A 25570-nucleotide genomic window follows, 5' to 3' on the forward strand; every position below is an offset into this window, starting at 1 on the left:
CAGTTATGTAAAACAGAGTAACATAAAGTTTTCAGTGGTTCTCCAACAGGCAGTATATTTCATCTGGTTGTAGGGTAAAATAATGATGCTTGATAAACAATTTTTCTCATATGAGGATTAGAGTGGAAGCAGGAGAACAGGTATGAAAAACATTACGGATAAAGCTTAACTCCAGGCTGTCAAATCCTGAAAAGACACTTTTCAATCAGAAAACTGACTTTTTCAAACAAGTTCAGTAAACGTAGCTCCATTAAGCTTTTCATAGCCTGACCTATGCATTCTGGAAATGTTCGCTTTTAGCCAGTTGGCAATTGTGTGTCTTTATGTAAACGTTTTCCAAAGGTGGTTCAGGAGTGAAATTTACTGATTCCAGCATGTCTGAGAATGTCTTTTGTTAAAATATCCTATGGGAAATATCTTAGGTGAATATGACACTCAGTTCACAATCGTTTTTCTCTCTTCCAATATCAAAACCTGTTCAGTAGAGATACAGCTTCAGTGTTTTCTATTATAGTTGATAGAAAAATATATGTCCTGGACCCTGAGAACAAATATCTTTCTAGATCTTTCAGATGACAAGAGGTTCTTCAGGTTTCGTGAGACAAACATAGACAGGCTTCTGAATATTTTTTCTAATATAACTTCACTGTTTTTATAAAAACTGGAAAAATCATTCTTAAAAAAAGCTTTTCATTTTATGTGCTCTAGTGCAAGTTTGGGAAAGGCTGCTTCAGTGGCTACTAAGGAATTGTCCTCTTAGACTGAAAATTTTCTATGTGTTGCTCTTGATCAGATAAATGACATCAGAACTGTGTTTCTGTGAGATTTATCTGGTGGCAGTGATTGAGATGGATTAGAATGTGAAGCAAATGAAGTTGACTATTTCAGGGGCTGTTATAATCTTCCAAGTGAGGCACAAGGGCAACCCGAAGGACTGCAGATATAAGTAAAAAGAATTAAGAAAGGAAAGTGATATTACAGACAGAAAAAGGACAGGCAAGAGTAGAAAGGCATGGCTTGGCATTGAGGCTTGTGAATTGGGAAGAATTGGAATGAGCTAGTCTGTAGTTAAGGTTGGGGTCCTTTCTTTATGACTTGGCAGATCTTTGTCTGGTGTGGAAATAAACAAAGACCAACTAAATAGGAAGAAGCAAAGGCTGTTTATTCAGAGCTTGCCATAGCAAGGGTGTCAGCTACTGTTGCTTGTGTTTTGGCAGAGACTCAAAGACAGGTGAAGGAGAAGGAAAGCTTTATAGTGGAAAAAAATGGGGATAAACTGGAGGCTTTGGAATGGGGATGCTATAGGGAGGCTAACTAGCTGTAGGCATCCTGTGTGATTGGTTAGGAGGGCATATCTTTCTCTAAGTTGGAAGCAGGGACAAAAATTAGGGATGCTGTCAGTTATTAATCAACTCTTGGTCATTTGGGGCCAATTGTGATAGAAGTTATTGTTTAGCTTCCTGGATTGTCACTAGAGGTAACAATCTGGCAGTGTGCAAATCTGACTTGCAGCAGGCTGGCCTGTTTATTGTAGACAATAAATTCGCCTATTTATTGTAGACAAGAGGATTGGTTTCCTGGGCAGTTTGCCGCAGGTTGTGGGTCAAAGTTATATATATATGATCTGGCAGTTGTCCATTTGTACATTCAGTTTCTCACTGTAAAATTGTCTCTTAATTCCATGGCTTAAGCATCTCTGTAAAGGATGAGTCCTGGGTATTTCCTTGGCTCAATGACCTCTTCTTTTGCTACTCACATAATTTTTGCTTAAACTCCGGAATTCATAAGTGCTTCATTCCAGAGGTTAGATTTCTTCAAATAGTTTTAACCAGTAATGCTCGTTGCCCTGACAAATCTGTGGTAATGGTCCTAGGCGCCGCTTCACCTCAGCTCTGACACAGCTCATCGTCTTCTGAGTCATGACTTCATGAATGCTGACACATCCTTTGAATGGGTCACATTATGTAAGAATGACAGAATGAAAGTTTGTGTTGTAGTAACAGCTAAAATTAAGATTGGATGTACACCAAGGCAGAGCTCACTCATACAACTCCATAGAGCTGCTGTTGGTGAGCCAGCTTATTCCACATTAACCCATGTGGTGGAAAGAATGGAACCAGGGTTCTAAACTTTCATTATATTTTATAGTTTTTGGTAATTAATGACTTTGAATCTTCTCAGAGTGTGTAATGTGGTCAAACAGACATATATACGTTTATATACACACATATATGTGTGTATATGTCTACATATGTGTATGCATACATGTACACATATATATACATGATAGTTTTCTCCTTTCTTAAAGAACACAATATATATATATCTATGCATTGTCATTACTTTTAAAATTCAAGTTTCTCAAAGTTTTGTTTTTTACTTAATACAAAAGTGAACTGGTTCACACTATTATATATATGTACACACTATATATATTATATATATATACACACACACACACAAGTTATATATATATAACTTGTCCTTTAAGAACATAAATATATATATAACTTATTTTTTATTTCATTTTATTTTATTTTTTTTGAAACAGAGTCTCGCTCTGTTGTCCAGGCAGGAGTGCAGTGGCATGATCTCGGCTCACTGCAACCTCCACCTCCTGGGTTCAAGCGATTCTCATGCCTCAGCCTCCTGAGTAGCTGAGGTTACAGGCATGTGCCACTACGCCAGGCTAATTTTTTGTATTTTTAGTAGAGACAGGGTTTCACTATGTTGTCCAGGCTGGTCTTGAACTCCTGGCCTCAAGCAATCCACCCGCTTCAGCTTCCCAAAGTGCTGAGATCACAGGCATGAGCCACCATGCCCAACATATATATATATATATATATATGAAAACACACACACACACACACATATATATAAGTTATATGTATATACAACTGTCCTTTAAGAAAGAGGAAAACCACCATATATTGATCATCAGTTATGTACCCAACACGTTACATATATTATGTCTAATCTTTACACCCACATTGCAAGGTAAAGATTATATCTCCATTTCACAGATAAATAAATTGATCAGAAAAAGTCAAAAGGTTTATTCAAGTTCACGTAGACGGTAAGTAGCAGAGATGTACAAACATTGTCCAATCAAAACCAGAACAAACAGAAATAAGAGTTTGCAGTCTTTAGACTTATCTCAACTCCTGCTTCTTATCTGTTTATAACACTTTCTTGGCCTGGACTTAACCCTTTCTATAAATTTTATCTTTCAAATTTTCATATTCTTGAAAACAGAAACCTGGAAATGTCTCTTAACTCAGTGTCTAATGGATAATTAGCATCAATTTTCGGGGTACCTCTCATCATTTTTCTAACTTCCTTCCCCTCTCTTTAAGCTTGGTCTTCTCTGCCCATCATCTTCCACTGGTGCTGCCCGAATGTGACCCAGTTAGGACCCAAGTCTATGTGCAGTCATTATGTGTCACTATGATTCAAAAATACAAAGCCTCCTCATTCACGAAGATTAGTAAATATTCCAAATCCTGGGAAAAGAACAAAATCTTTCTGACTGTGAATTTGTAAGCACTCATCAACGTCAACAAAATCCAACTCTAAGGTTCTGAGCATACACATCCAATCCAGTACCTTTGTGGTTTGATACACATTTCACAATCCTTTTTTGTTTTGAAAGTCATATTTTATTCAATTATAAGATGGGAACATGCTGTTCAAGATCATGAATTTAGAGAATAAGTGGAAAAACCTCTCCTCAAACCTCACTTACGTTCACATCTCTCTTAGTATTCTCATGGTAACTTGACTGCTCCAAAAATTACAGAGGATGTTGATAATTTACCAACTTTTACATTTTGTACCTAATAATTGGGCCAAATAGTATCAAAACATATTCCTTGTTAACTACAAGATTATCAGCCAAAAGAATCTAAGTGCTATAGTAGAAAAAGCATGGGTTTTGGGGTTAAACAGCCCCCAGTTAGAATCCTAGTTTCTGTACTCAGTAGCTCTGACACCAAACAAATTGCTTATCTTCTCTGTGCCCCTTTTTCTTCACTCTTAAAAATGGCCATTTAAATGTCTATTTTATGGGCTTGATATAGGTAACAGAAATTATGTAAGAACTTCTCAGAAAATAATAAACATGATTATTCATAGCCATCAGATAGCTAGAATGAGGGCCAAAAAAAAATGAGTTATGTCTAACTTTGGATGGGCTTAAGCAGTTGGGAATGAGGGCAATATGGGGAAAACGAAGAGTGACCACATGAGTTCTCTTCCTTCTCGACAAGTCAGAGTGGTTATTAGGGGATGAATGTACTTAGTGAGGAGGAGAGCAGCAAAACTGGGAAATTCTGGGTCCAGAAGAAGTTGAGATGTGAAGAAATAAGTTTCTTTCTTTATTTATTTCAGCCTACTAAGTGTCAGAGGCTTTACCTACTTAATTCTCAGAACAAATCTAAAAGGCAGGTATTGTTTTCCCTGAGAGTCAAAGAGGTCAATAACTTGTCTAAGATCACACAGTGAGTCACAGAGCAGATTTTCTAACTTATCAAAATTGTGGACTTTGTATAACCAGTCACTGCCCGGAACTCTGCCTTTCAAGATATTTGCAACAGGTTGAGACAAGCCACACCTTCACTTCCTGCAATATAGCAGACGATATATTCTGAAGGACTGTTTCACCATGAAACAACTACAATCTTTTTTTTTTAATTAGGTAAGCACTCAAATTACTTTTATCTAATAAAATAAGCAGGAATTTTAAGCGTTTGCTGTTTCATCTTATACGTTATTTTTCCTGGGCCTTCATTTATAGGGTATAAAACTTTAAGGAAACATTCTCAACTAACATTCTTATTAGATGTAAATGATTCATATTACAAATAATACTAACGTAAGCATTGTCATTACTTTTAAAATTCAAGTTTCTCAAAGTTTTATTTTTACTTAATACAAAAATGACCTGGTTCACACTATCAGCTGCCCAACAAACTGTTTAAAAAAAATTCTTTGTTAAAGAGCAGATTACAAGAAATGCTTTCCATCTCTTATTTAAAAAAAAGAAGATTCTGATACACATAATGAATCTAAATCAAAATTCATAAGTGGTGGCTGAAATCCTGTCAACTTTCAGTCCAATACTATAGAAATCCACAGTTATAATGCATAAACAATTCAAAATTAAAGTTTATAGTGGAAATGTCAACAAGTCATAACTAGTACACATTATTACTGATGAGTTGCACTATACTTCAAGCACAGTAGATGTGCATATCTGATAGACAGACTGCTTAGAAAATTAAAGCTATCAGAGCTATAAAAAAGGAATACACAAATATGAACATAGCAATGCCAAAGGATTTGAGCCGTTAAAAAAAAGTGAATAATGAGGTCAAGAGATCGAGAGCATACTGGCCAACATGGTGAAACCCCATCTCTACTAAAAATACAAAAATTAGCCAGGTGTGGTGGCTGGCACCTGTAATCCCAGCTACTCAGGAGGCTGAGGCAGGAGAATCACTTGACCTGAGAGGTGAAGGTTGCAGTGAGCTGAGATCGTGCCACTGCACTCCAGCCTGGTGACAGAGTGAGACTCTGTCTCAAAAAAAAAAAAAAAAAAAGTGGATAAGATGTGATGTAAACACATCTGATAGATCTCTCTGTAAGCCACTGTCCACTGATTTATAAAGCTATGGTTTTATAATTCTTTTAAAAAGGAATTTTTTTCTACACTGATGCATACAGTAATTTCATTGTACATTCTTGACTACAACACAATCTTCAAATCCTCTTGCAGAGCTTGTATGTATCATCAGAATTTCTCCAGAAAGTCAGCTTGCCATATTTTCAGCAGCCTGTGACAGAAAAGAACTTCTTAAACATGGCACTGTAGAATAATAGGCTGATTAATTTAAGTACATCAAAATTAATTTCAAATGATGTCAGCTGGGATGGTAGAGTAAGGACCTTTAAAATGTCCTTTTCCATAAAAACAAGAACATTGGCAGAAACAAAAAGTCAAAATCAACTTTTTCAGAATCCTGAAAATGAATCAACTGCATACAACAATCTTGGCAGCAAAAAAAGTGGCTCAATGTTCAGAGAGCTGCTCAACGGTGGTCTTGTAAATGAACAACCCACAATTACAATGAAAACAAGCAACCTAGCAGCTGCTGGCATCCAAATAAGGTAAGAGCTCTTTCAAAGCCCTATCCGAAGAATTGTCATTATTTGACCTGTCTGCCGGTTTCCTGGAAAACACCACTCACAAGGCTTGTTTTTATTTAACCTGATTCAGAACACACCCAGTGCAATCAACATTTTCCCAGGTCATTTGTCAAAAACAATCAGCAGTAGTTGTTTAACATCATAGCTGCCCGAGCAGTTAAACATTTGATAATTCCAAAATGTAGTCATTCCACATTTAGGAATATACCATACAGAAACTCTTGCATTTATGTTTTGTAAGTTGGATGGAAATCTACTGCCTCATCTGTAATAGCAAAAGACCAGAAATAACCCAGATGGTCATTGGACAGTAGAGTGGATAAATTGTAGTATATTCATATAATGTTTTATAACTTTATTAAGCATTCAAACATATAAAATGCTACAACTATACTTAGTATTATCAAATATTACAAAAATAAAGTATATATGAATTTTTTAAAGGGAGGAACTATTATCTACTTAAGAACCAAAATATGAGATATAAAAAGTACATCTGGGGAGATGAAGACCAGTGAAGTCTGGACTTGCTTGTTACTAGAAAGGTAGTTAGGATTTGTATATAAGACCAAGAGTGCGGCAGTTAAGGAAAAAAGACATGAGGAGCGAATGTGCAGAGGGGGCCACTGGTATGACAGGAGAGATTCAATATGAACGTATCAAATCATTGCACAACTCTAACAGTACATTTATCAGTCACTGTTTTATGTATGTGTCAGTGGTATAGATACATACATATATTATATGAAATCTCTAGCATTTAATAGCCACACTTCACAGATGAGTAAACCAAGATTCAGCAGATTAAGTGACCTTCACAAAGTGATGTGGTCAGATGAGTAGCAGCACTGGTATCCAAATTCATCTTGGATACTTTGGTCTTTTTAAATAATTGATACATTTATAATTATGAAATGCTCCTCTGTATACAGTGAGTCTCAAACTGTAGCATGAATCAAAGTCACTCGGAGGGCTTGCTTGATGAAACAGACTTCTGGACTTCAATTTTAAATTGATTCAGTAAGTCTAAAATGGGACCTGAAATTTGCATTTCTAATAAGTTCCTGATTTATTGATGCTCCTGGATAAGGAACCACATTAGGAAAACCAGTTTCATATCTAATTTAGCTGTTATTAATGTACCCATTCCATCTTTCTTATGATTAGTGTTTGCATGGTATATTATTTTCATCCTTTTACTTTTAAAATAAATGTCATTATATTTAAAGTGGTTTTCTTAGAGACAGGAAATAGTTTCAGTCTGACAATCTCATTTCATTAGAGTGTTTGGACAATTTATAATTAATGTAATTATAGATATGATTGGACTGAGATCTATTCGCTTGCTATTTGTTCCTATTTGTCCCATCTGTTCTTTCTTCCTTTTTCCTCTTTTCAGATCTTCTTTTGGATTAATAGAATAATTTTCAGTATTCCATTATATCAACATTATTGGCTTATTAGTTATACCTCTTTGTCTATTTTTAGTGGATTTTTTTAGAATTAAAATTTTTATCTCTATCTTTTCAGAGTTTACCTTCATATAGAATTATACCACTTCAATTATACCTATAAGAATCTCACATCTATATTTTTTCTCACATCTATATTTTTCCTCACATCCTTTGTGCTATTGTTGTCATACATTTATTTTACTTGTATATATCCTGTCAACTCCATAACACATTTTTATTTCTTTGCTTCACATAGTTATTTTTAATAATTAAACATAGAAAACTGCCTTTTATATTTACCTATATATTTACTCATTATGATGCTCTTCGTTTCTTTGTATTGATACGTTACCAGTCATTACCATTTTCCTTCTACTTGAAGAACTTCCCTTAACATTTCTTAAGGGAATAACTTCCCTTAACAATTCTTAACAGAATTGTCTTCTGACAGTCAATTCTCTCAATTATTGCTTGTCTGAAAAAGTCTGCACCATTTTTTATTTTTGGAAGTTGTTTTCACTAGATATTGAATTCTAAATCGATAATGCCTTTTTTCTTTCAACATATTAAATGTGTCACTCCATTGTCTTCTCTCGATATGTAAGTATATATATATTTAGAGAGATTTATTTATGTAAATATAAATGTTTATATAAATTTTATAATGTTTAATAATATAAGATTATGTTTATATAAGATTACATTTTATAAATATAAATAAATATAAGTACACATTATTTCTCTACATATATAGAAAAAAGTCAATAAATGTTTCTAAAATATATATATTTTAGAAATATATTTTTATATATATATATATATTTATATATATGTAAGACAGGGTCTTGCTCCGTCACCCAGGCTGGAGTGCAGTGGTATGATCATGGCTCACCTTGACCTCCCAGGCTCAAGCAATCCTCCCAACTCAGCCTCCCAAGTAGCTGGGACCACAGGTGTGTGCCACTGCTATTGGCTAATTTTTTGTAGAGACAAGGTCTCCCTGTGTTGCTCAGGCTGGTGTCAAACTCCTGGGCTCAAGCCATCCTCCAACCTCAGCCTCCCAAAGTGTTGGGATTAGTCAAGTGATTTACAGATCAGTTTGATCTTTTCAAAGTTTGATTTTAAGTTTTGTTTAGGGTGGGTCTAGTGTACCCTTATCTGTAGGAATAACTGAGTCCTACTATTAAAGTGGCTTCACTGATTTCCCCAGGTGTTAAAAGACATCTTGCCATTCAGGCTGGATGAAATTCAAACCTCTCCTAGCCCTATGTAATCTCTGAGAATTGTTCAGTCTACAGTTCCTTGGTGGTGCATATGCAGTTCAGTATTCATCAGCAGACTCAAGGGGTCTTCTCTCCCAATTTCTGGAGTGCATTCTCTATGTAACTTCCTCCTCTTCCTTACTTTTCCCTGAAAATTATAGCCACCTCTAACTCCCTGAACTTTAATCTCTATCTCTCAACTCAGTGAGACCACTGCATTCTACTTGGTTCCTTTCCCCTGTGCTGTGTCCTGGAAATTACCTAAAGGGAGAAAGCAGGCAAGACTTGGGGGCTTGCACCATCCGTTTTCTTCCTTCCTGGACTATTTCCTACACTACCTAGTGCTCAATGAATGAAACCATCTTTTTCATACATTTTGTTCAGTTTTATAGTTGATCACAGCAAGAAGCAAAATCCAGTACTAGTTACTGCAATATGACCAGAAACAAAAGTGATCCTCGGATATTATATTTATATACTAACACAAGAAGAGACAAGAGCTTACATTTTAATCCTCATGGATTGGGAGCTGTCTTGCATAAATCAGCAAATCCTTTTTCTATGGTATATTACGACCTCCTTAAAATATTTTGATGTTCTTATACCATAATGCTATAATCTAGAAAATCACCCCAGAGATGATACATATTGGAAAGACTATTACTTATGGTCCTCCTAAGATATCCCATTAACTTCCAAGTTGCGACCTTCTACCTACACACTAACCACTTCAACATTTTAATTTCTGGTTCAGACACCTTTATTGGGCCTTGACCCCATCCCGTTACCTACTAGACATCTCCCCCTGGCTCCCCAGTTTCAACAGACCTAGTTATTTCCTTTCCATCAATCACACCACCATCTCTTCTGCAACCAGATTTTCCTTCTCTATTCAAAGTCACTTCTTAAACCAGATGCTTAAAAAAATCACCCTATACTATTCCTTTTCAGCCATACTCCATATGCAAAGCAGTCACCAAACCTTATGATTTCTCCCTTCTAGCTGTTGCTCGCATGTCTTCCCCACGTCTATAATTTAGGTTTCTAGTATTTTTTGCATGGACTAGTACAGTACTATGGTAGCTGTTCTTCTCTGCACATTGCCTTAATTACTTCTGACCTATCTTCTATATTTCCATTCAAAAGATATTCTAAGATGCAATTTGGTCTTTATCCCTATTAAAATCCCTTCAATAAAGCCATATCATTTATGAGATAAACATAAAGTTTCATGACAATAAATTTTGTTAATGACCTGGTATCTCCTTCTCATCTTTTCCCTTTTTGTTTTATGCTCCAATTTTACAAAAATATTATTTTAGTGAGTCTTTGAGGAGGCTCCATTTCCACCTGAAATCCCTTTAGCTACATCTCCACCTAACAAATCCCTCTCATATTTTAAAAACACATCTCAAATGTTGTTTCCCATAGGAAATGTTCTGTGGCCCCCAAATCTTTTTGCAGAGATATAATTACCCCTCTATTTTGTAAATGCTTCTATTGATCTACTTATTACATTGCATTATAATTTGTTTATATGTCTTGTTTGTCTTTACCATATTTTGTGCCTTTGAAGACATAGATTCCTAGTCATCTTTGAATCCCTCATGCCTATCACAGGGACTCAAATCTAGTATTAACATCAAAAATGTGAATCTGGGAAACTTTATGCAGCCCAAACATGGTACATCCTTTCCTTTCTCCTGTAAAGGCACAGGATTCCTCACTATCCTATTACAGTATAAGGGGAGAAGCAGAATCAGAAAGACGAAACTACAGTTCTGGCAGGCTTGAGAAATTGTCTACTAATTTAAGGTTTTTTCTACTTGTAGTCCACAAGGTAGACAGTCCTGTTCTCTTCCTTGTTGACTAATTTGTGCTAAAGTATAATTTTTAAAGGCTAAAAATATGATTTTATGCAAATATGAAATGAACTTGTTAAAGATATTCTTTAACTCACTAGCTAATGAGGGAATCAGTTCAAAGAAGGGCCTGAAGAACAGACATATATACAGTAAGGAATGTGAAAGAAATTTCCTAATGATATAAATAGGTAATATCTTTATAGGACAGCAAAATGTAATGTTTGAGAGTATCTCTTCTATCTGGCACAAATGAATTTTATCCCTAAGAAGTAAGATTTATTTGCATTGATATAGAAAAAAACCTTTCGTGTAACTGTCAGTTCTCTACTATTTCTACCCTTACAGATTTATAAACTAGTCTACCCAATAAAAAGTCAAAGATGCATACCCTCATAAAATCAGTTACTCCAGAATATTAGCTACACAATGTGCAGCCCTTAGTTGTAAAGACACCTGTAATTTCCAAGTCTTGAACATTTTCTTTCCTTACATCAATGAAATAATACTCCTCCATTTCCCAGAGAAAAAGTGATATTCCCCAGACGGGACATACATGCAACTCTTAAGACATTTTGAAGACTTTTAATTGAAAAGTAAAAATGCAAAACTTTATAGAGTGAAATGCCAGAAGTTTTAGCTTTAACTTTTTCCACTTTATAAATCTAAAAGGCACAATCTTGTGGTAGTTAATAGCATAGATTCTGGTGTCAGGCTGCCTGACCGTGCATCAAGCTCCAAGGCTACCTGACCTACAGCAAGGTAAAAACTCTTGATGCTTTAGTTATCTCATCTGAAAAATGAGAATGACGGTACTTACCTCATGTTTGTAATCAGGATTAAATGAGTTATTTTCATTTTATATTTTGTGTATATACAGCCTTGGAACAGTGCCTGGCACATGGTTAACATTATAAGGATTTGTTTAACAAAATTTGAAAGTACACCACGGATAGAAGAAAAGGAAGAAAGGTTCACATTTAAGTCTTTGAGGCATCTTTATGAACACTCATGATAGCGACTCTGGACTTTTATTCCTATTCAGTTGTCATTTAAGAGAAACGCCTCCCTCCTGAGTTACCTAAGGCCAAAGACAATTCATGCAGATACCATTCAATTTTTTTTGATGCTGATTCTGGAGGGAATTTTCTTCTTTTGAGGGAAATCCAGCATTTAGTAACCTGTGGGGAATAACATTTCTTATAGTGGTGAATCGATTCTACTCTTTGCAAAGACAACTCTAATAATACTGAAGGAGCACATACTTGAGTTAAGAATGGATCTGAGCACAGCAGCTCATGCCTGTAATCCCAGCACTTTGGGAGGCCTAGGTTGGGGGTATCACTTGAGGTCAGAAGTTCAAGACCAGCATGGCCAACATGGTAAGACCCCCGTCTCTACTAAAAATACAAAAATTAGCTGGGCGTGGTGGCTGGCACGTGTAATCCCAGCTAATCTGGAGGCTGAGTTGGGAGAATCTCTTGAACCCAGGAGGCGGTGGTTGCAGTGAGCCGAGATTGTGCCACTGCACTCCAGCCTGGGCGGCAGAGTGAGACTCCGTTTCAAAAAAAAAAGAAAAAAGATCTGAGACATGAAGGACAAAGAGCTCTATCTCCCTCTAGGTACTTTCTGAGCCTCATATTTCCCCTGAGTTCAGTTCATTTCACTAGCCAGAAATGATCATCCAGCTTGAAATGGACTTGGCCATTTCTGCAAACTTAAGTACATCAATCAGCAATGATTTACTAATAAATTGAAAACTAAAAGCATTCCACAAACCCGTAAGCTATAAGTGAGAGCTCTACAATGTATGCAACCCAGAAGATAGGGGAACTATGTGTCAGGGTAGTGGAGAAAATGGACACAGGACAGGCCACACTGCCAGAATGATGTGCTTACCATGCATTGTGTGGTTTTTCACAATAAACCTATGAGGTGGGTACCTCCTAAGTTTATTTCCTCCTAAATTTAAGGAAGCTTAGATTTAATTGCTTGTTAAGGTCACACAGCAATTACACTGTGAGACTTGACTGTGGATTTTACCAGAACGGGAAATTCCCATTTCATCCCTTCTCTCCAGTCTTGTGGCTGTACTCTGTAAGCACTCCTTGGGGTTGTGTGTAGCCTAGAGGATGTTTTCTTGCCTTGAGACCAAGGACACAAGTGGTGTTACCCAAGTGACCAAAAGAAATCTAAGCTTTTATTTCTACTTGCCATATTTCTATTCATCTCTTGATATAGTCAGAGAGACTTGTTTTTATTTAGGAGTAGGTTCAGAGTTATTTTCAAAATACACATTCTGTTTCTCAAGAAAAATATATTAAAAACCAAATGATTTTTTTTTCAATTTTATTTGAGCCAAAATATATATACTTAATTTTAGTTATGCCAGAAGTAAGTATAATTTCTCAGTCCAAGGATGTTAGGAAGCAACTTACAGAGCATGCTTCAAATAGAATTCTCTTGGCCTTTGAAGGTAACTATTTTCAAACTTAATAGTAGAGTCAAGCAAGAATGGACAATTAGAGTTTTCAAAATTGAAAAATATTATGTATTTTATATAATCATTACCTATGGTTTACAGATTTTATTTTTATGATACATATCTCTAAGTAGTGGTACACTGAGGACATAGCAAATATGCAATAAATACTTATTAAGCTGAAGTGAACTAACAAAAACCATTAATTACACCATTTCTAACAACCAAACCAGCTATTGCTTTTCAGTGTTTTGGTGATACGTTGGAGTAGGAAGTCATATTCAAATTGGTTAGATCCTTGGAAGAAATAGTAGTATTCTGAAAATGAAAACAAATTAAATAGTTTAATTCCCTCCCTGTATTTCTTTACAACAACAACAACAACACAAATCTCTTCTCATAGATTATCTAGAATAGATGACCTATGGGCTGTGGTTCATGCCCTTAACTACACACTTTGAGAGGCTGAGATGGGAAGACTGCTTGAGGCCAGGAGTTTGAGATCAGCCTGGCCATCATCACAAGACCTCATCTCTATTTTTTCATCAAAAAATAACAAATAAAAAATAAGATGAGATGTGATTTGAGGACATAAAAGTTGAGGGCCCTTGGTATCATACCCCCAAAACGTCTACCAACAGCCAGTCATACTCCAAGTGGAGGACTCATGAAACAGGATATTGGACCCAGCTAGGGCACACAGGGGCTTTGATGGAGGAAACAACACTGGGGAGGGGAGGGAATACAAACAAAAAATCTTGACCCCATGAACAGTTGCTTAGGCTGGTCTTGTTTGAAGACATACGATACAAACTCAAGCTTTTCTTAACCCACCCGCAGTCCCCAGTCCATGAGGGCCTATCAGGGCAGAAGGGACTATAGGAAAGGTCAAGAGTGCAAGGTGTAGGAAAGGGTGAGACTCCAGACTGCCTGAGTCTTGGCTGCCATGTGCTCGCTTGCACATACTGTGTGGCTGATGTGGTAAAAGGAAATTCCAGAGACTCAGGTACATGAGAAATAGGAACAATCACATTCCCTCTGCCTGCTAGACAACCCTGGGAATATACCACTTGTGCCACCAGCCCCTGCTCATTCTAACTCTCCTATTCAGAGCCACGTACAGTGTGAGTTTTTCCTTGCGGCCCTATGGGGAACTGCAGAAACCTGTCCCTTTCCAATTTGGAGCCCTATTCTCTAATCTTAGAGGATTTATAGCTTTGAAATGTTATTTCCAGTATCTTCATGGTTTCCTCATCTACTTACTGTTTTTAGAGTAGAAGACTGCATCAATTTTAGGCCCGATTCCTTGGAAGTTCTTGGTAATCAGTTTGGGATAACCAGGGTCCATCATCTGTCTCCTTTCATCATACCTGAGCAAAGAAGTAACCAGCAGGAACTCAATCAGAAAGTGGCTTTCCTGACATGCACCACAAACCCACCTTCTCTACTGAAGAGCTCTTCCCCAAAGGACTTAAGTTGCTCTGATGAAAAAAACCAAGGACCTAAACAGTTCACTGATTTCCTCTGAGTCCCTATAGGACTCAAACCTATGCTTCCTGACTCTGGTTAAGTCTTTTTCCCACTATCCCATAATACTTCCTCTAGTGCTTGGTCCTGCTTTATAGAGTCTGGCATAGAAGGTGATTTGGCAACAGCATAGGCCCCAGTGACCGATTCTTCAGTTGCCTGTCATTGCCTTCTTTTCAAAGCTATTCACTGAGACAAAAATACCCATTTCCCCCAAGAAGATAATAAACAGGTCAAGGGGCTAAGAGCCAGGGAACCAAAGGGTTTTATACACACGTTTGAGAGAAATTGAAAATAAACACTTTTGTTTCCAGGCTGTATGGTCATATCCTGGTTTCTCTCTTAAATTCTCTTTTACCAGCAAGTGAAAAGAGCTTTGTGTCTCTCTAGACTTCCAAGTGGCAACTGAATCTAACTGTTATCTTGTGTTTATCAATTTGGTTCTCTAAGTATTTATGGCTTGCTTAGCACTCTCTCAATGGCCTTTCAGGGAAAAATCCTGGGCCAAGTAGGAGTGGAAAACTAAACAGAAACACTGTTCAGAGTTGAAATGCCAATGTTCATAATAACAGGCTACAGCAAACTACACCCATTTGTGAGCTCTTTGGAAAGTGTTATTTGCTAAAATCAAGTTTTGTTTCTCAAACAGAGCTAAGGGCTGGTGGACAAATTCAAGTCATAAGCATCCGGTATTCAATTGGAATTAGATATTGTGTTTTAAATGCTTAAGAATAAATAACAGTTGTAAATGTAAGCTTAACATATATGTTATGTCTCATGTCAACCAGGCAAGCAATCTAGGAAATGACTGGCTTACTCAGAAGAAGGAATACAGAATCCTCTCCTCCTTCAAAATGTAGACAATTGAGACAACAGAGACAGACACTCAAATGAGCTCCTATCCTCACTTGACCATATGACTTTCTTTTAAGGAAGATCTTGCAGGACCTCCTGACCTCCTGTCATTTAGAGGATGGTTGTCTCATTTTGTCTTTTGAATCCAGTGATTACAGAAAGGAATCTGGAAATCCATAACCCTCGAAACTGACTGTAGATTAAATACTTGGTCTTGTACATCTATGACACTATTTTCCAATGTGTTTCCACTATGATTAATAAGATGACATTTTATTTAGAGTGTTTTTTTAAAAAAAAACACACATTATCTACTATTTCATATATCAGAAACCAAAAACACAAAGAACTAAGTTGACAATAACTATTTCAGTCCTATATTCTCTTAATCTCTCTCCCTGGAAGGTCAAGGAGCTTTGGGAATTTGCGCAGAAAATGTGCCTTCTAGAAAGCCTCATTCCATATCTGTTTCACAATCTGAGGGGTCGAATGACCAACCATTAAAACTCACCTCCAATACTGGTTATCTACAAAGAAGTAGGTCCTATAAAAACGTGGGTTAAAAACAGCTGCATCAATTTTTTTCACAAAGTTAGGAAAACCAAAAGAATGTATGCTCTTGGGATAATTTGGCTCTGGTCTTAAATTGCTAATTAACCAGTATTTGTCATCTGTGAAGACAAAGAAATAGGGTAAATTTGAATTATACAGGAAGAGTAATAAGAAAATATTGATTTACTATAAACAACATAATTCCTTTCCAACAGTTATAATATTTATTGCTTATTGATCTTAAACATAGTCTCTTTTCTATGGTTCCCATGGTTTTTTTTCACAAGTATTACTATTTTGTAGTTTACAAACTTTTCCCAGAAGTTGTATATATTACTTAGGTATTTAGGCTATTTTAGTTTACACTTCAGAGCGAGCCACTATTAATAAAATCAAGAGTGCTTTCTTGGTCTATATCTATTAAAAAGTAGTAGTCTCTTCTCAATTTATTCTCTTCCTTGAAGTAAACTCAATGGCAAAACTAAAGATTAGAATTACCTTTAAAAAGAAAAACTTGATTTCTGGCTTCAATTTCATAAGCAGCTTCAATGCCAGATGGCAAGGTTGGCCATAAGGAAGAAATTAAATTAACACTGGTCTTTGGTCTCTCAGAAACCTTCAGCCAGAAGAACCTGACATGAAAGACATTTGACACATGTTAAAAGACAATGTAGACTCAAGAACCATGGCATGTGAATGGGAGGGAACTGTGAAAAGACCCAATATTTCTTTCCATTGTCTTCACATTCTGTTCCATGGATGTCTGATGTTCATGGATCCACAAGAAAAGGATATCAATCAACTCTTTGATAATAACAATGACTTTAACAAGCAATCTGGTATACAGAAATACCCTGGAGCTTGGAATCCAGGGATCTAAGCTTCTGGTTCGACCCTACAATTCACTCACCAGTTTTGTAACCTCAAGGAAGTCACTATCCTCAAGTGTATCAGTCTTATAATCTCAAAAATGGGAAATATTTGTCCTACTTGACAAATGTTAGTCTTCCCAACTGCCCCTCCTTACCACCAACATCTGCTTCAGTCTGTGTTCTAAGAAAGAAACCATAAGTTATCCTGGAATTCTCTCCTCCATAACCAGGAAATCAAGTCTCTTGCATAGGTACTGTTTTACAGTCTTGGTTTCAGACTTCACCATTTTTATCTATGATTAAAATAGTCTGGCTTCTGTTTCTTATCTTCTAAATCCCCATCCCAGATTCCTACTGCAAATCGTTTTTTACACACCAGTTTTCTAGTTAAAACACAAATGTAATTACACCTGTCTCCTGCTTCAAAACCTTTAAGATCTCCTCACTGCCTACAGAATCGAGTCCAAGTTCCTGCTTACAAGTTTCATCTACTTCATTTTCAATTATTTTCCACTGTTTTCTGACAAAAAAAATTTAAAGGCAGAAACTTTAATATTGGTTAGATATGAAAATGATCCTACCTGTCTTTGAAGAAAAAGATCTTATTTCCCACGGTAGTGACAGCATCAAAACTCAAATTGGGGTCACAGAGAGCTGGTTCTGAATTGTCAGGATTTGGCAAGCGTTGGTTCTCTTTTGGGTCTCCTGAAAATACATTTCGAGAAGCATTAGTAAACAAAATCTGCATTGTAGTTCAGAGGAGGAACAGTTATGTTTTAAATACTCAATTTTCTTAATGAACATTGCATCAAAATCATTTTAAGCTTTCTATAACATTCACAGGAAGTATAAAGTAAGGTTTTTTTTCCACATGGTTGCAATATCATGGAGGAAGAAAATCTGATTATCTTTACTTTCCTTTTCCAGTTATAATAGATTGTTTAATGTGTGGGCCTTCATCAGTAAGGCAATGGTATCTTGGATAGAAAGAACACCAGACTTGAGGCCTCTGGTTCTGCCTCTGGCTCTGACGTTAACATACTAGGTCTCTTGTCCTCATCTGTATAATGAAGATAATACCTGTGTCACCTGCCACACAGGGTTCTTATGCGGCTTAAAAAAAGACAGATATTAACGTTTTATCCAAATATAGATATTGTTAGACTATTCATAAAAGCGAGTATCTTTATATGGCAAAATGATAAAGAATTCAACTCACCATACAGGGACTGAATGCCACGTATGTCATCAGCAGAGAGGCGAAATGTGTTGATGTCAACATATTTGTAGGTGGGGAACATTACGGCCTTTGGATCACTAGAATGGCCAAGACCTAAGGAATGGCCAATCTCGTGAACAGCAGTGAGGAACAAGTTTGTGCCTAAGAAGAAACCAACCAAAAGACAGCTGTGAAATGCATTATCATCTTGGACAAGAACACAATATCTGACACAGTGAAAAAGAAAGATTTGAGAATCTTTTACTTATTTCTTTACCCTTTTGAGTTGGGTTTCTCAATCTCAGCACTTCTGACATTACAGTTCAGTAGTCTGGGCTGTTCTGTGCATTATAGTTGTTTAGAAATCTCAGGTTTTACCCCTAAATGCAAGTAGCAAATCCTTTTTAGTTTTGACAACCAAAAAATGTCTCCAGACATTGTCAGATATCTCCTTGGGGACAAAATTGCCTAGGGTTAGGGACCTCTGTACTAGTAGACAAATGAAATATATTCTGTTGTAAAAATTCCTAGAATAACTCACAGCTGCGTTCAACAGTTTTCATTGCTTCTAAATAATTCTCAACTCTCATGACTCAATTCTATTTTTAGTCTTCATGAAGCTTTACTAGATATAGAAAAAAATGTCTTTAGCAATCGTCTTTTCGTAAGCCCAAATATAAGGCTATCATTAAGTTTCAGGTACTGTGAGTCACTGAGAAATGTAACACATTATGTCTAATTCTCATACAAATGAAAGGAAGCCACTGTGCTCTCCATTACAGATGAGGAAACAGTATTTATAAGATTAAATCAAATTAAGTGCTTGAGCCAAGATTAATGTTTCTGCTTTTACTACACATGATTCTAAATAAAATTAAAGAGTCTATATGACTCAAGGAAAGAATATAAAAAACAAAAAAGAGAAAAAATAAATAATTCTTAAAAGAGTCTATACTTATAATTTAGACATATTTGGACTACCAAGTTACAGTGTTTTCTGTCTTTTTTTTGAGCCCCATTCAGACTTCACCATTTTTATCTATGATTAAAATAGTCTGGCTTTATATCTGGCTTTTCTTTTGAGTCCCATAAGAAATCCTTGTTCATTTTTGTGTTATGTCCTAGAGAATGCACCTTTGTAGGTAAGAGAAGAGAGAGGGGTATGTCCCTTCTCTCAAATTGCTCAATTTGCAGAATATTTGAAAATTCCTGACTAACATTCTTGTCCCCTAGTCCAATGCCTTCATTTTTGTCTTTTTCTATGACAAAATTGTAGTTCAGAAGAACTGACTTGCCCAGAGTCACACGTCACTTAGCTGCAGAGCCTGGCCTTGGAATACTCTCCCATACCCAAGTGCAAAGAGTCTACACCTCTCTCGGGGAGTGTCTAGACACAAATCAAGAATTTTCTGTATCATGGGTCCAGTAACCTTCCCAGCAAGACTGGGAAGAGTAAGCAAAGTTTTTACAATTTATCCTAAACCTGAACTATTCTCAATTCCTATAATATGCCTATGAGCCACCACCACTGATCCTCATCTGGAAATAATGGGTTTATGTTTGTATTCTGTTTCTCACTAGATTGCGTGCTCAGGGGTTGAATTGTGTACTTTTCATCTCTGTACTCAAGTAACCTCATCACCCAATACCATAATAGAATAGGTCAGCAAACATTGACCTATTTGTTTATTTGATTTACTGGGTAAAAGAAAACAGGCTGAGGCTGGATGCGGTGACTCACACCTATAATCCCAGCACTTTGGGAGACCAAGGCAGGCGGATCACCTGAGGTCAGGAGTTCGAGAGCAGCCTGGCCAACATGGTGAAACCCCGTCTCTGCCAAAAAAAAAAAAAAAATTAGCAGGGCGTGGTGGCCAGCACCTGTAATATAATCCCAGTTAGTCAGGAGGCTGAAGTAGGAGAATTGCTTGAACCCTGGAGGCGAAGGTTGCAGTGAGCTGAGATTGCACCACTGCACTCCAGCCTGGGCAACAGAGCAAGACTCCATCTCAAAAAAAGCAAATAACAGCAACAACAACAACAACAAAAACGGCTGAAAATAAGCATTTTAAGTTATAATTGTCATAAATAACTTCACTTTTTGAAAGCATTGAATCAATCCAATTAAAAAATAAGGCAATATGGACAGATAGAAAATACTGGGTTGAGAGGTAGGAATGCATATTCTGGCCCAGCTTTTCCACAAACTAGCCACTAACCTTCTCTTTGTCTTAATTTCCTCTACCTACAGAAAGCTGTATTAAATTACTCTTCTAAGGTCTATTAGAATTCCAAAACATTTTTTTGAGGCTAACTAGCACACATATCCCATTTTAGATGAAGGAATTACAATCCCCCAAATAACCTTGGATAAAATTTAGGCACATATAACATGTCTGGCTGAGGATTTGCAGTTTAGCAACTACCTAATCCTACATGATCTGTCTTTTGACAATACAAAAGTCCTCTTCTCTTCAAAAACTTTATAAGCCTTAGGCTATGTGTTAGACTAAAACAAATAGTCTTTCTGGTGGACATAGTATTTATAAAAGTATTGCCATCCAACTTGTGCAATATCAGCTAGAGAGGAGGATGCTGAGTAGAGAATATTATTGATGACTTTCTCCTCATTTACTTTCCACATGAGGGAGTCATAGAATCTAAAATTTCCAATAGAAAAATTAAGAAGGCTTCTGTCATGATGGTTAGGGTTTTCCCATGCTAGTGATTCCTCTAAATAACAGGGGAGTTTAATTAACCCCATGTCAACTATCTGAGGAGGATGGTAAGTTACAGTCCTTATGTAAATGCCCCCAAGGTATTAAATGTTCAGTTGGGCATTCTGAAATTTTTATCCCAAGACCACATGAAAGTACATGGCTGTATAATCTTGTGTTTCTCTATAGGGATGCTTAGATTCTCTGTAACTTTTTCTTTCTTGCTCACTATGAATCTAAGAAATTGTCAGCATATTATGAATCATACAGATGACCATCTTATCCTCTAATTGTTGGCACACACAGAATTAGTATGTGTTTGCTTTTGAGCTTATGGATTTCACTAGGTCAAAAACTTATCACCTAGGCTGCCTGCAATCTTAACACTTTGGGAGGCTGGGACAGGAGGATCTCGAGGCAACATAGCAAGATCCTGTCCCTATAAAAAATTAAAAAATTAGCCGGGTGGGTAGCGCACACCTGTGGTCCTAGCTACTAGGGAGGTTGAAGTGGGAGGTTTGCTTGAGCACAGGAGTTCCGGGCTGTAGTAAGTTAGCATCATGATACGTGATGCCAGCCTAAGTGACAGAGCAAGACCTTGTCTCAAAAAAAAAAACTTACCACCTAATTAACAGCTTTTACCTTTTCATATTATGCTTCTTAAGGTTCCTCTGAGCTTATGCTAATGAACTAGCTCATAGTTCATAGCATCCTCATAGATTGTTAGAGCTGATCTTCAAGATGATCTAGTTTAATATCCTCAATTTACAGAGAGTAAAATTGAGACCCATACGAAGTGTTAAATTTGATTTAGAGGCAAAATTATAATCAGAACAAGATTTTCCATCATATAATCATTTGTCAGAATGTAGTCTCTCGAAACCAGAATTTTGAATTTGTTAGGGTTTTTGTTGTTTTCCTTTCCTGTTTGCTTAGTTTTTTGTTTGTTTGTTTGTTTGTTTTGCCCACCTCCTGAATGTGTAGTCCAGAATTCGTCCTCATCGAAATGTGCATCCCCTCCAATGCCAGATCCAGGTCCAAAAGCATGGGCTAGGATTCCACCTTTGCCATCAAAAGCATGGAAGTCTCCATGAGCTTTTGGAAAAGGAAAGAAAATTAGTCCTTCTATACATCCTATAGATCATGCCAAATGACAAAGATGAAATACAAGTTCCCTACCTCCACGGGCAAAAACCACCAAAATGTCAGCCATGCCTGTGTTAATCTTGCTGAATTTCAAGGGGGTAACATTACTCCATACTTGGAAAGCTTTCCGGATTGCGTAGTCAACATCCTCACGGTTCATGTCAGGTGTGTAATTATTGATTCTTTATCAGCAAAAAGAGAGAGAAAAATGTATGGAAGGCAGTGTTATTTTGTCTTACCACAATACTTCATTTTTGCTAGCACAATTGGAAAATGGATCATTTCATAAATCAAGAGTCCAGATTTTAAAACTTGCTTCATTAACTACAGAAACATTTTTTCTTGGACAGCCTCCTCCTTAACCAAAATCTAACTTAATTTCTTCCTATTTAAAACTCACAGATCATCACTGTGAAGGATTTGCTTTCATAGAAGGTTATGCTTTTTGCTCCTGCTCCCAGGTTCTGCATTTATCCATCTTGACTACTCTATAAACTTCCCTGTCTCTTCTTTATAGTAAATTATCTTATTTATAGTAAATTTAGCTTCATTCTCCTTTTATTTGCAGATTTTTTTTTCTTTTTTTTTGAGATGGAGTCTCACTTTGTTACTTAGGCTGGAGTGCAGTGGCACGATCTCGGCTCACTGCAAGCTCCGCCTCCTGGGTTCACGCCATTCTCCTGCCTCAGCCTCCTGAGTAGCTGGGACTACAGGTGCGCGCCACCACGCCCAGCTAATTTTTTTGTGTGTTTAGTAAAGACGAGGTTTCACCATGTTGGCCAGGATGGTCTCCATCTCCTGACCTCGTGATCCACCCACCTTGGCCTCCCAAAGTGCTGGGATTACAGGCGTGAGCCACCGTGCCTGGCCTATTTGCAGCTTTTAAAATCTGCTTTGGACTGGCAAGCCAAACAATTCTCCCCTGAGTGAACAATTCTTCCTTCTAGAGAAAATGAATTTTAGCAGAGATAGCATTAACAATGGAGGGAGGTTACTTTATCTACTTCCAGATTTAGGGCTGTCTAACTGGTTCAGGTTAGAAGTCAGACCTATGGGAAAGTAGAAAAATACAGGGCGACATACACCAACGTTACCTGTAGGTGATATAATGTTTCCTCCATACGGGCCCCCCTGGCATTTCCCTGAAATGATGGACATCGGGGACTCCACATCGAGGTGCGTGCATCATCTCCAGGGTAGATGTGTCCAGTTGCCCGGTCACTTTCAGACCCAAGAAGTGCTGCATTTCTTGGATTTTTTCCTTCATTAAGTTTCCACTATATTTCATTTTTGTCACTGGAAGTTTGTTTATCTCAAGGCCATAAAATTTTTCTAAGTATCTCTGGAAAAAAAAATACATTCAGCAATGTGTAAGTACACACAGAAAATTTCTGTTGGGAGCTCCACATATATGACTCAATTGCACACTGATGCTTTTGGACCAGGAATTTTGCACATCTTACTCACAGGTTAGATTATTGTTTTTTGGACAATTAATTATAATCAGGAAAAAAAACCTTAATTTTTTGTGCTATCAAAGACATGTCAGCCAGGAGCAGTAGCTCAGGCCTGTAATCCCAGCATTTCGGGAGGCTGAGGCAGGAGGATTTCTTGAGCCCAGGAGTTCAAGACTAGCCTGGACAACATGGCGAAACCTCCTCTGTACAAAAAACACAAAAATTATCCCAGAGCGTTGGTGCATGCCTGTAGTCCCAGCTACTCAGGAGGCTGAGGTGAGAGGATCACTTGAGCTTGGGAGGTAGAAGCTGCAGTGAGCCGTGATTGTACCACTGCACTCCAGCCTGGATGACAGACACAGACCCTGTCTCAAAAAAAAGAAAAACAAAAACAAACAAAAAAACAAAGACATGTCATAAACTATTAGCTAGATTTATTCCCGGAATCCCAGTGGAAGTATCTTTTTTAAAACGTCATTTATTCATTTTTAAGACAGAGGAGTTTCTCTTGGTCACCCAGGCTGGCCACAGTGGTGCATACCGGTAATCCCAGCACTTTGAGAGGCCAGGGTGGAAGGATTGCTTGAGCCCCAGAGTTTGAGACCAGCCTGGGCAACAGGGTGAAACCCTGTCTCTACTAAAAATACAAAAATTAGCCAGGAGTGGTGGCACATGCCTGTAGTCCCAGCTACTTGGGAAGATGAGTCAGTAGGATCACCTGAACCCAGGAGACGGAGGTTGCAGTGAGCTAAGATGGTGCCACTGCACTGTAGCCTGGGTGTCAGAGTAAAACCCTGTCTCAAAAAAAAAAAAAAAAAGAAAAAGAAAAGAAAACAAAAGGATACATGAATTATTAATGTTATTAATATAAGTTGGGACACAAATTTCTTGCTTAAAAACTCAAAGCTAAACAAAATGGATAACTATGATAAATTCAATGTTAAAATCATCTTAGAAAATAGGGAGACCAAACTCTTTTAATTAAGGAAAAGAATTTAAGAATTGAAAAAAATCCATAAAGAATGCTATAAAGATGGGGCCTGGCATGGTGGCTCCCGCCTGTAATCCTATCACTTTGGGAGGCTGAGGCGGGGGATTGCTTGAGCCCAGAAGTTACAGACGAGCCTGGGCAACATAGTGGAACCCCATCTCCATAAAAAAGAAAAAGAAAAGCTGTAAAGATATAACTGAGATGACTGAGGGTAAAGGGAATATGCTTAAATTATCATGGCAGCCTGAAGTGGTTATATTAATCCTGCCATTGTTCAGATCTCAGATTATTAACTGGCATTTAATGATTAGTGTAAAATACCATAACAGAAGTGAACTCCAATTATATTGAATGGAAATTTCTTGGCCAAAGGTTTTTAGAAGAAGAAACAAGTTCACTTGCCAATTTCATAACAGTCCTTCAAAACCAATACCTCTTTTTTATATTCCTCTTTGACAAAGTAAAACTTAATACTGAAAGCAGACAGCCTCCTAGACCAATTTTCAGCTGATACGTAAAAGCAAACAAACAAACAAACAAACAAACAAACTGGTTAATGCAATTAAATCTTAAAGACAAACATCAAGCTCGATAAATACTGTAGTGTCCATACTTACTTCACCAAATAGCACATTATTTTTTTCCAGGCTTGTAGAGCTGTTCAGGGGAAGAGCTCCAGAAGCAGTGGCCTGCAGGAGCAGTATTAGAAGAAACTTCATTGTAAACTTCTAAACGGATCAATTCAGTTTACTGTGTTCCTTTCTAGCCTAAGTTCCTGAACTGTTCCTCTTTATATAGCCCTTAGTCCGGGTTCTGTGAATATGAATCCTATGAGTGACTCATAGTTGATATCATCCCTTGATCTATCTCAAAAACATGCAAACAAAAGCATGACTTTATTCAGACGACAATGGATCAATTAGCATCTAGTCCATCACTCAAGCAATTCAGAGTATGTACCTTCAAA

At 37.1% G+C, this 25570-nt stretch overlaps 1 protein-coding gene and 1 long non-coding RNA gene across 2 annotated transcripts; one reads left to right on the forward strand and one right to left on the reverse strand.

Moving 5' to 3' along the window:
• The first annotated feature begins 2857 nt into the window (after window positions 1-2857).
• On the forward strand, window positions 2858-16784 carry LOC124902741 (uncharacterized). The gene is made up of 3 exons (XR_007062868.1): window positions 2858-4696; window positions 6017-6168; window positions 15583-16784. It is a non-coding gene; the product is annotated as an uncharacterized LOC124902741 (long non-coding RNA).
• Window positions 13121-25367, reverse strand: MMP12 (matrix metallopeptidase 12). Its single transcript, NM_002426.6, has 10 exons — window positions 25221-25367; window positions 23250-23497; window positions 22189-22337; window positions 21979-22104; window positions 18293-18454; window positions 17655-17778; window positions 16700-16833; window positions 16161-16320; window positions 14531-14637; window positions 13121-13585 (listed from the first exon to the last, which is right to left on the reverse strand). Exons 1-10 carry the CDS (start codon window positions 25320-25322, stop codon window positions 13485-13487), a joined length of 1413 nt encoding a protein of 470 aa, NP_002417.2. The 5' UTR covers window positions 25323-25367; the 3' UTR covers window positions 13121-13484.

This window comes from Homo sapiens, chromosome 11 (genome assembly GCF_000001405.40).
Source record: "Homo sapiens chromosome 11, GRCh38.p14 Primary Assembly".
NCBI lineage: Eukaryota > Metazoa > Chordata > Mammalia > Primates > Hominidae > Homo > Homo sapiens.

Bases quoted from the DNA above. Each gene is read 5' to 3' on its own strand.
- MMP12 (NM_002426.6), bottom strand. From the start codon at position 25,322: ATGAAGTTTCTTCTAATACTGCTCCTGCAGGCCACTGCTTCTGGAGCT. The intron at 16,321-16,699 runs GTAATTCTAATC...TTGTCTTCACAG, and splicing joins TCAAGTTTTTCTTTTTAAAG to ATGACAAATACTGGTTAATT. The intron at 13,586-14,530 runs GTAAGTAGATGA...TTTCATTTTCAG, and splicing joins AGTCTTCTACTCTAAAAACA to AATACTACTATTTCTTCCAA.